The sequence below is a fragment of the Homo sapiens genome, chromosome 1 (assembly GCF_000001405.40).
Source record: "Homo sapiens chromosome 1, GRCh38.p14 Primary Assembly".
Classification (NCBI taxonomy): domain Eukaryota; kingdom Metazoa; phylum Chordata; class Mammalia; order Primates; family Hominidae; genus Homo; species Homo sapiens.
The window spans coordinates 229592732-229607477 of NC_000001.11; the positions used below are offsets into that span (position 1 = coordinate 229592732).

General features: G+C 41.6%; 1 protein-coding gene across 7 annotated transcripts in view, besides 1 other annotated feature; it reads right to left on the reverse strand.

The window, feature by feature from the left end:
* Window positions 1-402: 402 nt before the first annotated feature.
* TAF5L (TATA-box binding protein associated factor 5 like) overlaps window positions 403-14746 on the reverse strand; it is a 32989-nt gene continuing 18645 nt past the window's right edge. For 3 of the 7 annotated variants that reach the window (NM_014409.4, XM_005273099.5, XM_011544162.2), the window contains 2 exons: window positions 9464-10188; window positions 403-2363 (listed from right to left, as the gene is read on the reverse strand). In NM_014409.4, the coding sequence (NP_055224.1) occupies window positions 1566-2363; window positions 9464-10188 (1523 nt within the window). In that variant the 3' untranslated portion in view covers window positions 403-1565. Of the gene's footprint in view, window positions 2364-6462; window positions 10189-13387; window positions 13463-13686; window positions 14146-14746 lie in introns of those variants that run through there. The other 4 variants (XM_047417997.1, XM_011544164.3, XM_047417996.1 and 1 more) reach the window with 3 other exon arrangements.
* Window positions 1785-2285: an enhancer, noted in NCBI's record as "H3K4me1 hESC enhancer chr1:229730263-229730763 (GRCh37/hg19 assembly coordinates)". NCBI's record gives its function as "activates a minimal SCP1, AML or CMV promoter by ChIP-STARR-seq in naive H9 embryonic stem cells {active_cell/tissue: H9 hESC(naive)}" and the evidence as "EXISTENCE:reporter gene assay evidence [ECO:0000049][PMID:30033119]".

A 14746-nucleotide genomic window follows, 5' to 3' on the forward strand; every position in this document is an offset into this window, starting at 1 on the left:
CATAGTTTGAGTTTATTGAACAGTCCAGTTCTTATGCCCCTTGGAGATTTTATAGTGGGGTCTTTGAAGGAAGTGCAAAGTAGGATCTCATCAAATGACTCTAGATGGTGAAATATATGTGGTCTCCAGTCAGCAACTATCAATCTTGGATGTACAAACAGCATTAAATGCCATCAATAATCCAAGTGAATACTAAGGGAATCATGATTCAAAGTAAGCTAAACAGAACCCAAGAACAGATAAAAATGCACCTTCGTTGGGGACAGTGTGGCCTAGGTAACCGACGGGTTATTGCCCTGATGAGAGGTGAGAGAGACACACCATCCCAGGACAGAACACTCACCCGCCTGTCCTCAGAGATGAAATGAGATGCCAACACTTTTTTTTTTGAAACTAAATACATTTTAATAGAAAACAAAATACAAAATAACTCTTTTCAGAAAACAGAAATATTTAATCCTTTTTCCACAAATTAGAACTTGCTTTATCCTCAGAGCATAGTTTGATATGCGTGCGTACATACTTACGATTTGTTTCACAAAGTGTTCATTAGACTGGTATTGCAGTGCAGGACGTGGGAGCAGTTCATTGCAGGAGAAAAAGACGTGGAAAAAGCCACACCTCTGAATGGTCATTCAGAAATTCAACATTTTTCTAATTCTATCTTGTTACTTATTACTCCAAATTATTCTTTATCATAATCTTTCTTTTGAGGGGAGAGAATTATTAAGAGAAGTGCAGCTTTGGAAAGAATTTTTCTTTCCCACCATCACTGCAGGAGCCCAAAGTGTTCTCAATCAAACCCACCCACCCACTTCCAGAAACATGTCAGCCAGGGTGATCAATCTGTCACCCGAAATTTCCCTTTCTCCCAATACACTGTGCTACCAAATTCTCTGAATTCCCTGAACCTCAAAATTCCAAGTATCAAAACCAGTGCCAGGAGTCAAACCTGAAAGATTAAAAGCAGAGAAGGTGCCCTCTGCCAGTGCTAGGTTTCCTCATGTCAATAATAATAATAATTATAATTATAATAACAATAATTAAAAAAAATCCTGGTTCTCTGTAATTACGGAAAAGGAAAGACTATTTGCCAGGATCATGCCCTCCCCTTTCCTCATTCCCGCCCCACATCCCTCTGCCAACAAGGACTTCCCTCCCACCTGAGGGCTGGACCATGCGTGACCCCTGCGGCGCCACTTCTCCTGAGGGTGCTCTACAGCCGCCCTCTAACCAAACCTAGCCCCAGTCAGATGGTGAAAATGAGAGACAGGAAGGTGCTCGCATGCGCGAGGTCACGGCAGAGTCTCCATGAGGACTTGTGAGTGACCTCCAGGGCACTCTAATTCTTGATCACTCATCATTGCCTCTCTCCTGTTCCCCTCCCCAACCTTGGCCTTCGACACTGGGGGGCTGAGTGAAGGGGGACCTGCCCGGAATGAGGGCCCAGGAGAGAGGGGAGGAGGGGGCTCTTTCACAGTCAATGATTCAATCTCAGCTCATTGAAGGATTGCAACTGGAGGCTTTCCACTGTTACCCCAGTCCGTTCCAACAAAGTTAAAAAATTAATGTTCCTGATTTTCTTGTGTAATTCCAGTCACCAGAAGAAGGTTACAGGCCATGAACTGCACGCTCAGGACGTTGCTCATCTGCCCGGTGTACACGCCCACGAGCTCGCTGGAGGAGCCGTCGGCAGGTGCACTGCAGTAAGTGTTCCTGATGTCCCAGACGCGCACCGAGTTGTCCATGGAGGCAGAGGCAATCAAGCCGCTGTCTGGACTGAAGGTGAGGCTGGTGATATTGTCTGTGTGGCCTCTCAACTCTTTATAAAGGGTCCCAGAGGCCAAGTCCCACAGCTTCAACCGCTGGTCCTCGCCAGCAGACGCCAAGTACTTACCGTTGGGAGAAAAGGCGAGAGAAAGCACGGGGCCACGGTGGCCTGTGAAAAGCCTCACCGAGTTCCCCTGCTGAGCGCTCCACAGCCGGACGGTCTTGTCGGTTGAGCCCGTGGCCAAGTAGTTTGAATTAGGGTGGAATTTGACACAGTCCACATCTGCCAGGTGTCCTGCATATATCCTCAGCGGGTACGTCCGATCAAATGACCACAGCCTGGCGGTGCGGTCGTGGGACCCGCTGGCGAAGTACAGGCTATATGGACTGATGTCCAGATCCCACACAGGATAGGCATGTCCTTGGTACAACACAGTGTTGGTGAAACTCCCCAGATCCCAGTATCTGATGGACATGTCTTCAGAACAAGAGAGCAACCCTGAGCTGTCCGCGAGGAACCTCGTGCTGTACACTGGTCCGCAGTGGCCCCGCAGTATCTTCATCTCCGTGCCTGCATTATCATCCTCATCATCCTGGGAACAGTGGGGTGGGGTGGGAAAAGAAACACACACAAAAAATGTTCAGTGGTCTGACAAGGAAAACAAGTCCAGGAGAAAAAAAAGTAGAGAACTGAGACTGCTTGGGAAATAGCATCTATCCAGCAAATGACAGTGGCCTTGCCCTTGAACGCTACCCCAGGAAGATAACTCATAACTGAATAAAAGTCTCTTACGACTTACAAATTGCTCCCCTTAAATTCACCTTGCAGCTCAGACTATATCAGATTAAAAGATACAGAAATGCAAGGCCATTACAGAGTAATGACTGTGGACCTTACCCTTTGATTGAGGATAGCTTGTATGGTTAATTCTGATGTGTGCCATTTGAAAATATTTACTTTTGAATTTACGTGAGGCTCTTAGATTGTTCTATTCTATGGGCATTGCCTTCATCCATCAGTTTTAGCTGCTTTATAAGCCATACTGCTGTTTTTACTCCATTTAACTGACAACAACATTTCGTTAAGTCCTGACATGTTCCTTACTCCCATGATGGGGGTTAATGATGGACACAGCGACACATGAAGGCAGATGTGGTATCACTTCAAGATTTTTTTTTTTCAGATGGAGTTTCGCTCTTGTTGCCCAGGCTGGAGTGCAATGGTGTGATCTCGGCTCACCACAACCTCCGACTCCTGGGGTCAAGCGATTCTCCTGCCTCAGCATCCCAAGTAGCTGGGATTACAGGCATGTGCCACCACGCCTGGCTAATTTTGTATTTTTAGTAGAGATGGGGTTTCTCCATGTCGGTCAGGCTGGTCTTGAACTCCCGACCTCAGGTGATCCGCCCGCCTTGGCCTCCCAAAGTGCTGGAATTATAGGCATGAGCCACCGCGCCCAGCCTCACTTCAAGATTAACACACAACCATTGGTTCAGGCATGGTGGCTCGCACTGTAATCCCAACAGTTTGGGAGGCCAAGGCAGGAGGATCACTGGAGCTAAGGAGTTGGGAGACCAGCCTGGGAAACATAGGGAGATTCTTTACCAAAAAAATTTAAAAAATTAGCTGGGCATGGTGGCGCATGCCTGTGGTCCCAGACACTTGGGAGGCTAAGGTAGGAGGCTCACTTGAGCCTGGGAAGTTGAAGTTGCAGTGAACTGTGATGGCACCACTGCACTCCAGCCTGGGGGACAGAGCAAGACCCTGTGCCCAAAAAAACCCAAAACAAAAACAAACACAAACAAAACCCAGAACTATCAGAGGAGTTTAGCCAAAATAAAACCTGGATGTTTAAGAATTAACACTAAGCTAGAAAGGTACAGTTACTAGTAAATCACAGCTCCCCCTGCCTAGTGACCAGCCACAAACTGCTTAGTGTTTCAAAATAAATAAGAATGAAGTTTTTAAAGTGACTTTCTGGAGGGTCTCAAAAAACATCTCCCCCAACGTAACAAAACAAGGTGTGGATTCAGAAGTGCTTGAAGCAAAGCCAAGCGATTCATGTGATTCTTCGAAATAATTTCCTGTGTGTGACGACAGAAAAGACGGCAACTAATGGTACTCAGAAAGAGTCCTCTTTCCTGGTCCTCTCCCCACAAGTATACCATCTGTTTTCAAAATTCATTTCCCTTTATTCCCACATAGATAAACTCCTCAAAACTACAGCTGTCTCTTCTGTCCCAGAATTCATCAATTAAAATGGGTTTTAATTAAACACCAGAAGAAAGGAGTATGATGAAGATCCCCAAACCAGTCAGCTTTGTTGGTTCATTGTGGCAGCCTTAGGTTCTTGTATAAGAAAAGGGCACCTTTTTTTTCTACTTGAAAATAGTTAAATTCAAAATAAAATGAATGCCTCCCATGTGTACATATTTAAGAAAAAGTTGAGAGAAAATAAACACTGATGTCCATGAATATTCACAATGGCTATTCCAAACACTCAACATTAAAAATACATTAAGTATTTGGGAGCTTAAGGGTCTACTGAGTGCTACCAAGAATATTAGTAATTTTCCTTTCCAAAGAAGTTACAACAACACTTTAAAATTTCAAGAATGACTCACTGCTCTACACCAGAAAGTTTATATAAAGACTGTGGGAACAAAAATGACACCAGATGAATTAAACAAAGATCCTGTGAAAGTTAACTGTGAATTAAAGGACATGTTACTGCCTCTGAGGTGTAAGTGGTCTTCATTTGGAACAAGAAGCTATGGAAGTGGCCTTCACCTCCTCAGTGGTGAAGGCATCACAATTGGAGATGAAGGTGCATGGGCTAGGAGCATGGGCTGGGAGTCCAGCTGGTGCTCCCCAGGGATCTTGATGATTGTCCCAGGCTGGTGGAAACGTGTCCAGCTGACTCTGTAGACCAAGGAATGGAGAAACCAGAATGTTCCTGTTGGCTATCACTGTCAGCCCTCTGCCAGGACCACAGCTTAAAATAACCCAGCCACATTTTCTGTGTGGCTCAACCAGTCCCACACGGGCCTCAGCACGGTCGAGCAGCTGATTTACAAGGGCCCAACGCCATGGGTTTTCACTTCTCTCTCCTGCCGACAGGATAATACCATACCCTACGATTCAGCCTGAATACTCCACAGTAATTGGGTATGCATCCCAAATAGAAATGTTTAATTTGTAAAGCATATTCATGTAATAATAAATCTTATTATATACATTATGAAACACACATGAAATAGAAATTTAACAAGAAAAATAAACATAAAGAGATCAAGTATCATCTCATGCACCCTTGTGCTGTAGTTTGCTGCCCCTGCTCTGGACTATGGAGTCCCTAAAACCTCAGATTTGTTATGGCCGTCTGCTCCTGGACTCTGAGGCTCCAACTACCTCAGAGCTCACACTCACGTTTCCCCCAGACCAGGGGTCCTTTCTTGGGGTCTGGAATTTAGCCTCCATCTATTCTCTAATTAGCTGTCAGTGGAACAGGAAGACATTAAATTTGGCTGGACTTGTGAGTGTATTAGACTTGGAAGCAAGTGAATCACTGCTATCTACGTGGGAGATGACAGCAGCCTGAACTAGAACAGAAAAGTTGGATACTGGCTAGCATGAATTGACATGTGCTGTTCATGTAAAATACATATCAGATTTCTAAAACTTAGGACCAAAAGAGATGTATGTAACAGGTTTCATGAATGATTTTTTATATTGCTTACATGCTGAAATAATTTGTTCATATTAGTTTGAATGAAATACATCATTAAAATTAACAAATTTTTAACCTTTTTAGATGTGGCTACTAGAAAAATTTAAATTACTATATGGCTCACATCATATTCCCATTGGATAGCATTAATCTAAATGACAATTTGATACACAGATTATAGAATTGAGTATTGCTGCTAATATTGCCTTCTTTACTTTTCAAACCTAAAGAAGACCAGATTGGGGGCAAAACCACCAGACATATAAATGAATTGCACACAGCTGTTTTACTGCTGAGTTAAGGAGGCGGGTGCTGGTAGTGATAAGGGTAGCTGCATACACACAGCTGAAAAGAAAGAAGAGCAAATCCTTGGTTTGGTATCTCTGTGGTTTTGCCATGTTGCTCAAATATTAAAAATACATAGGTATCAATCAACAGGGGTAAGGGTTGGATATCTCTTTTTTTTTTTTTTTTCTTTTTTTTTGAGACAGAATCTCACTCTATCGCCCAGGCTGGAGTGCAGTGGCGCGGTCTCAGCTCACTGCAACCCCTGCTGCCTGGGTTCAAGTGATTCTCCTGCCTCAGCCTCCTGAGTTGCTGGGATTACAGGTGTCTGCCACCACGCCCAGCTAATTTTTGTATTTTTCATAGAGATGGGGTTTCACCATCTTGGCCAGGCTGGTCTTGAACTCCTGACCTTGTGATCCACCTGCCTCGGCCTCCCAAAGTGCTGAGATTACAGGCGTGAGCCACCGCACCCAGCCAGATATCATTTCTATCTCCATTTCATATAGAACAAAAGATGGAGAATGAAGGTTTCACTCTTCATCTCAGTGTCTGAAACAGGAGGAGGGCTGCTCATACCAAGGTAAAAAGCAAGGGACTGCTATGTCACTTAACACCTTTCCAAAGGTTAACCTAGATGATCTTTAAGTGGGAGACAACAGAAGCTACAGGACAGTGCTGTGAATTCAGTTTTATTTGGCATAATTAACAGAGAAAATTTTAAGCTTACATAGAAGATTTTGGTTACTGTTATCCTGTTTTTTTTTTTAAACTGAGATATAATTACATACTATATAATTCTTTCAAAGTGTACAATTCAATGATTTTTAGTACATTCACAGAGTTGTGCAATGATCACCACTATCTAATACAGAACATTTTCATTACCTCACAAAGAAATGCCACACCCATTAGCGGTCACTCTCATTCTCCTTGCCCAGCCCCTGGCAACCACTCCTCTCCTCTCTGTCTCTATGGACTTGCCTATCTGGATATTTCCTATGAAAGGAATAACAGTAGGTGACCTTTTATGACTGGCTTCTTTCACGTAGCATAAAGCTTTCAAGTTCATCCATGTTGCAGCCTGCATCAGTGCTTCATTTCTTTTTATGGGCAAATAATATTCCACTGCATGCACACACTACATTTTATTTATTCATTCATCTTGATGGCCATTTGGACTGTTTCCACTTTTTGGCTATTGTGAATAATGCTTCCATAAATATTCATGTACAAGTGCCTGTGTGCACATGTTTTCCATTCTCTTGGATATATGTCTAGAAGTGGAATTGCTGGGTGTGAACACCGTTTCAAATACTGTAGAAATACTGTATTCACTGATTTATGTAATAGTTATTGCTTCAAAAAGATGAAAGCAGAGAGTGCAAGCTGGCTTTTTAATCTGACTTACATAGTGATTTTGTACTTTCTATCATCTCATTAATCCATGTGGCTTCACCACTTGCTTTTACCTGTTTGGTTTCTCTAGGTATGTGAGTTTGTGGCTCCTGTATTAAGAGTCTCTATTTTATTTTTTTTAATATTCAATATTTCATTTCAAAATAATAGTCTGTTTTAATTATGCATTCTATAAGGGAAAAAGAAAAGTCCAAATTTTCACTGGAGAAACATTAAACACCAACTATCGTAACTAATTTATGCCTGGCTTTCTCCCCAAATGCTTGTTGTCAGAAACCAAAAAGAAAACTTCTCAAATTGCTGTGATAAAATGGGCGGGCATGCAGGAAGCCCCTCAACAACAGAATAGGAGAATCTCAGCTTTAGTTCTTAAGTTTAAAAAAAAGGTTTATTCTTAAAAAGGGCAGAGGTTAGCTAGCATCTACAGTACTTTCAGTATGAACCATGATGGAAAGCCAGAAATGCTTAAACAAAACCACCATTCCAATGACGTCTTTTGCTTTCTTCTTGATGGACATCCAACTGTTTAAGCCTGAAACACAAACGTCACCCTTGATGCTTGCTCTCCCTTATCCCCTACAGTAATTGAATAACCGAGCTCTTCTCTAGTCCATCCATGTCTCCTTTGCCACTGCCACTACCCTAGTTTGGCCGCCATAATTGCTCATATAAGACAGTGTCACTACATCACTTCCTGTCTTGGCCCCTCTCCTAACTCCAGCCATACTTAATTTCTTTCAGTTCCTGGAATTCCGCATGCGGTTCCTCACTTCTGAGTCTTCAGATACACTTCTGATACCCGGAAATAAACATAGGACAAGCCACAGAGCTAGTTACCAGTAGTGGCCAGAGTCTTAAAATGTTTTATTTTGGTCTACTGTTATCAGATGTCATAATGCTATCTTCTTTAATATTAATTTTTAATGCACAGAATAATCTCCAAACTCTGTATCATCAAAGCTAATAAGGTCAGTGTAATTTTTTTTTGTATTTACAGAAAATCGAAAGCAAATGCAGGCAGTATTCCTCAGTTTTATCAGAAGAACTCCCAAAAAGGGAACTGTCTCCAAGGAAAAGAGATGTTTGAAAATTCAAATACAAATGTAATAAAAAATATTTTGGAGAGTACTATAAAATTCTAGAAATTAAAGCTTCTACATGGGAATCTAGACTCTTCACTCATCACAAGGAAATCCTTCAATTATACTGTCTCGGTTGCAAGAATCAAAAATTCAAAGGCCATCCTAACTGGAAGTGGACTCAGAAAACAGGAACAGGAAAACAATGGTTTAATTTAGGGCACCCAATATTCTTGACATCCTTATCATTAACTGTAATTTAATTAGAGTGATTTTTTTGCTCCTTAATTATTCAACATTGTGTAAAGAATTTTCCATCCAAAGTAATGTGAGGCAGAGCTACCTGAATTTCAGTGGTGATAAGACAAAAATACTTTGGCCCACAGCTTTTTCAGGACCACTCTAAAGAAAAGTTAATGCTGTGAAGTTTAATTTCTATCTTCCTTGGCCCACATTTTTTCTAAGGTAGTGATTTTTGGTGACCTGAAACCCAAGCTGCGCCTGCCCTTTTCAATGACTGTCCTAAACGGTTACAAGCCAAACAAGATTGAACACTGACTGACGGGGGGAGGGGAGCTGGCAACTCTACTTCCTGTGTTACTTCTCCAAGTGGGGTCTGGGAACACCCCGGGGTACATGGAGCCACAGGATATGCACTGGCCTCAGAAAGCCAATACCATCCATCCAGTGTGGTGAGGGTGCAGGGATGCCAGTATTCTTACTACTGTTGCTGAGACTGTGAAATGGCACAACCTTCTGTGGGGAAAATAATATTCATTACAGTTGACAATGGAGGCCCTTCGACTCAGTTATCCTACTACCGATTATTTGTACCTGAGCAAATGTGCACACACATAAGTGTATATTTACTGCAAATCTCAGCTAAAGTCAATATTAGCTAAAGGTCTTTCATTAGGCTTAGTGTTGCTATCCACATTTCACATAGTATAAATACTGACCATTCATTAATAAGAAGTTAATGCTGCTAAAAATTGTTTTTGCATCTTAGGTTAGGCATGTGCAGGAATTCAATGGCTACAGGTAACATGTCATTAGTCTGGCTTTAGCTATATGATGAGGGAAACTAGGAAGTCCATTCTAAGATATGTCGTGTTTGGTAAGGACATTCTAAGGAAATTAGGAAGGCGGGTGCAGGGAAGAAAAAAATGGTATTCATACCTCCTCCTCCAGAATATCACAAGCCAAATGGATGCGGGACACGTCTACTTGGTGGGGCTCTGATTTTAACTTCTTGGATCGTAAACTCCAAAGTTTTATACAGGAGTTGTCAAACCCAGCAGCAAGCAGCTTGCTATCGGGGGAGATTTCTGCAGTGTTCAACAGCTGCTCTGTGTTATAGAAGGCATAGAAGCAGATGGTAGTGAGGGAGGGAGGCCCATCCTTGACTCGCTTAATGCTCTCCTGTAAGACCTCTAGGGCAGCCTCGTTCTGCAGAATAGGGCTGGGCATGTCGGGGGGCTCCAAACCGTTGTTCTCACTGCGGGAGGAGCTGCCACTGGCATACAGCTGATAGTCTGTTCTCTTGGCAGGCTGCACGTCAAGATGAATATGTAAGGTGAGGACTTTGCACAGGGCAGTATTGTTGTCACTTTGGAGGTAGCGGATAAGGTAGTTGTAGCTGTCTTCTTGGAGACGGACCACGTACTTGTTATCTAGGAATGCTCGAAGCTTGAAGTTAGATAGGATGTCCTGGATGGTTTGAGTGGTCTGTAGCTGCTCAATGACATCCTTCTGGCTAGCATTCTGCAGAAACATTCCATGGAAGCGGCTGTAAAAACTTTCCACTGTGCTCTTCGGACTGTTTTGGACCAGGTTGAGATGGAGGTAGACAAAGAGAGGATAGAGGAGAGGCATCACTTCGTGGCTATGCTGGGAATCAGAATCTATAATGAAAGAAAAAGAAGGCTTTATAATCAGCATAATCTTACAGAATAACGTGATCCCTCCTGGGGATCACCACCATCATATAATGCTTTCTTGCCAGGACCCCATTTTTTAAGAGTACTGATTGAACTATAAGCCCAACACAGGATTCTGGAATTTCAAAGGCCTTTTGATTGAAGAAAGAGCATGAACTCTGAAGTCCAGCAAATCAGGGCCTGAAGTTGGGCACAACGCAGGAACTTAATGCCCAGAGTGGTTAAGTGACTTGCCAGAGTTCACAACAATACAGTGGCTTGTACCCAGGTCTTCAAGATTTAGTATTTTTTCCCAATATGTTAGTGTTTCTTCAAATTGGGGACCTCAGATATCTGAGGGTACTTAGACATATTCTTGGAAGATTGAGTTCTTCACAATTTTTTAATGTGATGATAATATAAAAAATAATCAACACACAGTATATTCAGAATTATCTGGATGTCCGCTTAACAAGTAAGTACTGACAAGTGATTTTAGTGCTCTAGTTTGTGTTTTGTGATTACTTTTGGCATCCATTGTCTCAAGTAAAATCAAAGCACTTATTTTAGTGGGCTCATTAACATGTCTGGTTATACAGGCTGGCGTGTCCTGTGTTAACATGACAGCCTTCATTAACAATTGTCTCATCAGCATATTCATTCTGATTTTGTTGGTTAACAAGTTAAATTCTCTTTTGCAGTGATAATTTACAAATAAGACCATTTTACGTCATTAAGACTCAACTACTTACTAACTTGGGAGTTTAGCGCCATGAAACTGTAAGACAGAGAATGTTATTTAAAAGGTGTACAGCTTGAATTCATGGGTGAATGAGAAAAGAACAGAGGTATAATTGACACCTAAATAAGTGCTTAAGGCATGCTGTGAGGGAGCAAAGGTTTCGATGTGATTCATACACAGTGGGGAGACAGCAGGGCCACTGCAGGGCAGAAGCCCCCCAAGGAGCTGAGACCAGCCCGTGTCACAGTCACCAGTGCTGTCCAGATGCCTGCTTGCAGTAGCAAGGTAGTTCTGGCAAAATCCATCCGTTACATTCACTCAGTGTTATTTTCAACTTGACTGCCTTTGGGGTTTTGCTTGTCCCTTATCTGTAATGAGTCTGGGTTTCATAAAGAAATATAATAAGCATAAAGGTTTTAGATCTAGTGTAATGTTTGTACATATTTAAATAAATTAAAATAAAAATGTTTTAAGTCAGCACTTATGTTCTGGTAGCATTTTTTTTTTTTTTCATGAAAAGGCATCAATACAGGGTTTAAGACTGAGGAATACTGCATCAGAGAATCTTGCTCCCTAATTTGATGATAAAAGATATCTGCATGTTATTTCTGCTTAACACCCTATTTCACTTTATCACAAGGTGAATGAATCTGCTGCATAATATTCATAATATGCATTTTAGAATAAATGTATCCCTACTCATTATTTAGAGGATGAAAAATTACAATCATTCCACTGAACTGGAAGTTAAGACAGCCACCCAGCCACTTTGGGCTCCTCACACCTCTGAATCAATAGGCAAGGAAGGGAGTTACAGTGTTGGCTGGGGTAATTGATCCTGCCCAAGAGGAACTGGAACTGCTACACAATGGAGGTAAGGAGGAGTATGTCTGGCTTAAGGAGATCCCTTAGGACATCTCTGTACCCTGCCCTGTGATTACAGTCGATAAAAATGACAACAATCCATACAGGACTATGAATGGCCCACACCCCTGAAGAATGAAGGTTTGGGTCACCCCACCAGGTAAACCACGATCAGCTTGCGAGATGAGTGCAAAGGGAATACAGAATGGGTAGTGGAAAGAGGCAACCATGAATACCAGCAACCACCATGTGACCAGCTACAGAAACGAGGACTGTAATTGTTGTATTTCTTGTTTTGTTACGAATGTTTTGGTGTGAATATCTATATATAGATATATAAAAAGAAAATATCTTCGCATTCTTTCCTTTCTCGTTCCCTTATCATGGAACATCGGATTACTGACTTTATTTTTTTGAGATGGAGTCTCGCTCCGTCACCCAGGCTGGAGTACAGTGGCGCGATCTCGGCTCATTGCATCCTCTGCCTCCTGGGTTCAAGTGATTGTCCTGCCTCAGCCTATTGAGTAGCTACAGGCGTGTGACACCACGCTCAGCTAATTTTTGTATGTATATATATATATATATGTATTTTTTTTTTAGTAGAGATGAGGTTTCATCATGGTGGCCAGGTTGGTCTTGAGCTCCTGACTTTAAGTGATATACCCATCTCAGCCTTCTGAAGTGCTGGGATTAAGGGTGTGAGCCACTGTGCCTGGCCAGATTACTGACTCCATATCATAGTATTTAAGTATTGTTAACTTTACCTCACCGTATCAAAATTATGGAATATCACGGAGAGGAGTAAACATCATCCAAGGACTTTGCATTCTCCTCCGGGGAAAAGGTTAGTGTGTTTTTTGGTTGTACACAGGATAATTTTATTAGGTTAGGTGGAAGTATGAACTTGTTATTCTCTTTATTTGGAGATTAAGTATGGAATAAGGAGATGCATACAGGTGCCAAGTTAATAAGGAGTGGACTTGTGAGGTTACTTTTACATGTCAAACTGTGGGGGGGCCCACGGCACACAGATATTCAGTCAAACATTATTTTAAATGTTTCTGTGAAGGTATTTTTTTTTTTAGATGAGATTAACACATTTAAGTCAGTAGACTTTGAGTAAAGCAGATTACCTTCCATAAAGTGTGGGCCTCATCCAATCAATCAATCAATCAGTTTAGGCTTTAATAGAAAAAGACTTATCTTCCCCTAGTAGAAGGAATTCTGCCAGCAGAGAGCCTTTGGATTTGAACTGCAACACTAACTCTTTCCTGGGTCTCCAGCCTGCTGGCCCGCCCTGATTTTGAATGTGCCAAGCCTCCACAATTGCATGGAACAATTCCTTAAAGTAAACCTCTACATATCCATCCTGTTGGCTCTTGGCTGTTTCTTTCGAGAACTGTGACTAGATTTTGGTTTTTCTTTTCCCTTTGTTTTTTATTGGGATGAAGGATTGTTTTCAATTCCTTAGAAACAAAATTTCAGGCTCCTTTTCTAAAATGAGAGGCATTTCAATTGAGTAAGTTTAGAAAAAAACCTAGCTATCAAGAAATAGTGATGTACTACTTTAAAACTTACTGAAATTCACTGTTGCTTCAGCTCATAGGTTCAAAATTGCTTAATTGCTCTCTCTTGTCTGAAGAGAACAGTATGCTGGGTATAAAACAAAAAAACTGATCAATTTGGAAGAAGGTGAGATTCAGAATTCTAACTCCCATTTTAAATTATTCCCTTGCAATCTAACATACTCTGTATTTTACTGAAAGTGTACTCACTTAAAATATATTTTTTTCTAACTGCAAAAGTAACAAACATATCCTCTGAAAGTACACTTTTTCTTCCTTCTATCTACCCACTGAAATGTAATGAATGCCTACCTGGTGCCCAACTCTACTGGCGGTAAATGAGAGAACAATGGAGTTTTTCATGAGTTCATGGAAATTAGTAGTAAAAAGGATACTAAATTAAACAAAACTAATCCTGTCGGTCCTCATTCTCCTCTACCTTTCTTCAAGGTTTGGCTCTATTGACTAGCACTCCTCTGTCCTTTATTCTGAAAGCCCACACTACTTGGTCCTGTCGTCACTCCCTTTTTGGTTCCTCTTCCTCCTGTCAATCCTCAAATGCTCATTTCACTTTAAAGAATTAACACTGGGTGTGTGCCTCTTAGGAGCCAGGTACTTTGCATCCATGATCATGTTTAAGAGTCACAGCTGGCCCTGGTTCAAATCCAGAGGTTGCTTGACTCCAAAGGCTGTGTTCTTCCCACTACACCTCCTGAAGAATAGGACCTACGGCAATAGGTGAGCTCACAGAATCTCTCATCTACAGACAACCTGTGGAGGAAAAATACATTCAGGTGGATATAGACATAGATACTCTTATATCTTTCCCTAGTATCTTCCTTTGAGATTTTATCACTTCTTAAGACTTTAATTTGCATCTCCATGTAGCTGATGCTACATGTTCTTTATTACAAGTCTTTATCTTTCTCCTAAATCCTAGCCTCAAATTTCCCACTGCAAGCTATGCAGTAGGATGCCACTGTCATGACAATTTAACAAACATAAACCCTTCTGACTTATTTATTTTCAATAAATCTTCATCTCCACTCCAGTCTTAAAGCCTGAGCCATCGTCACCTCTTCTTCCTCCTTTACTCCTGAGCCTTGGAGATTCCACCTTGGTAATTTAACTATGAAATAAAGCTCCTGCCTTCCAGTTCCACAATGCTGTCAAATTCTGGTCCTTTCTCACCTCATTTCTCAAGATTGCCAAGCACTTTAATTCACAGTCAGTCTCCCTGCCATTCCTCTTACAAATAATTTTACAAACTGCTTTCAGACTAATATTCATTGATCTCCAGCCTGAAACCCCCATTCACAACAAAGCCTTAGTTGTTCCTGTACAGTCGTCAAGCCTGCCTTTTTGCTCATGT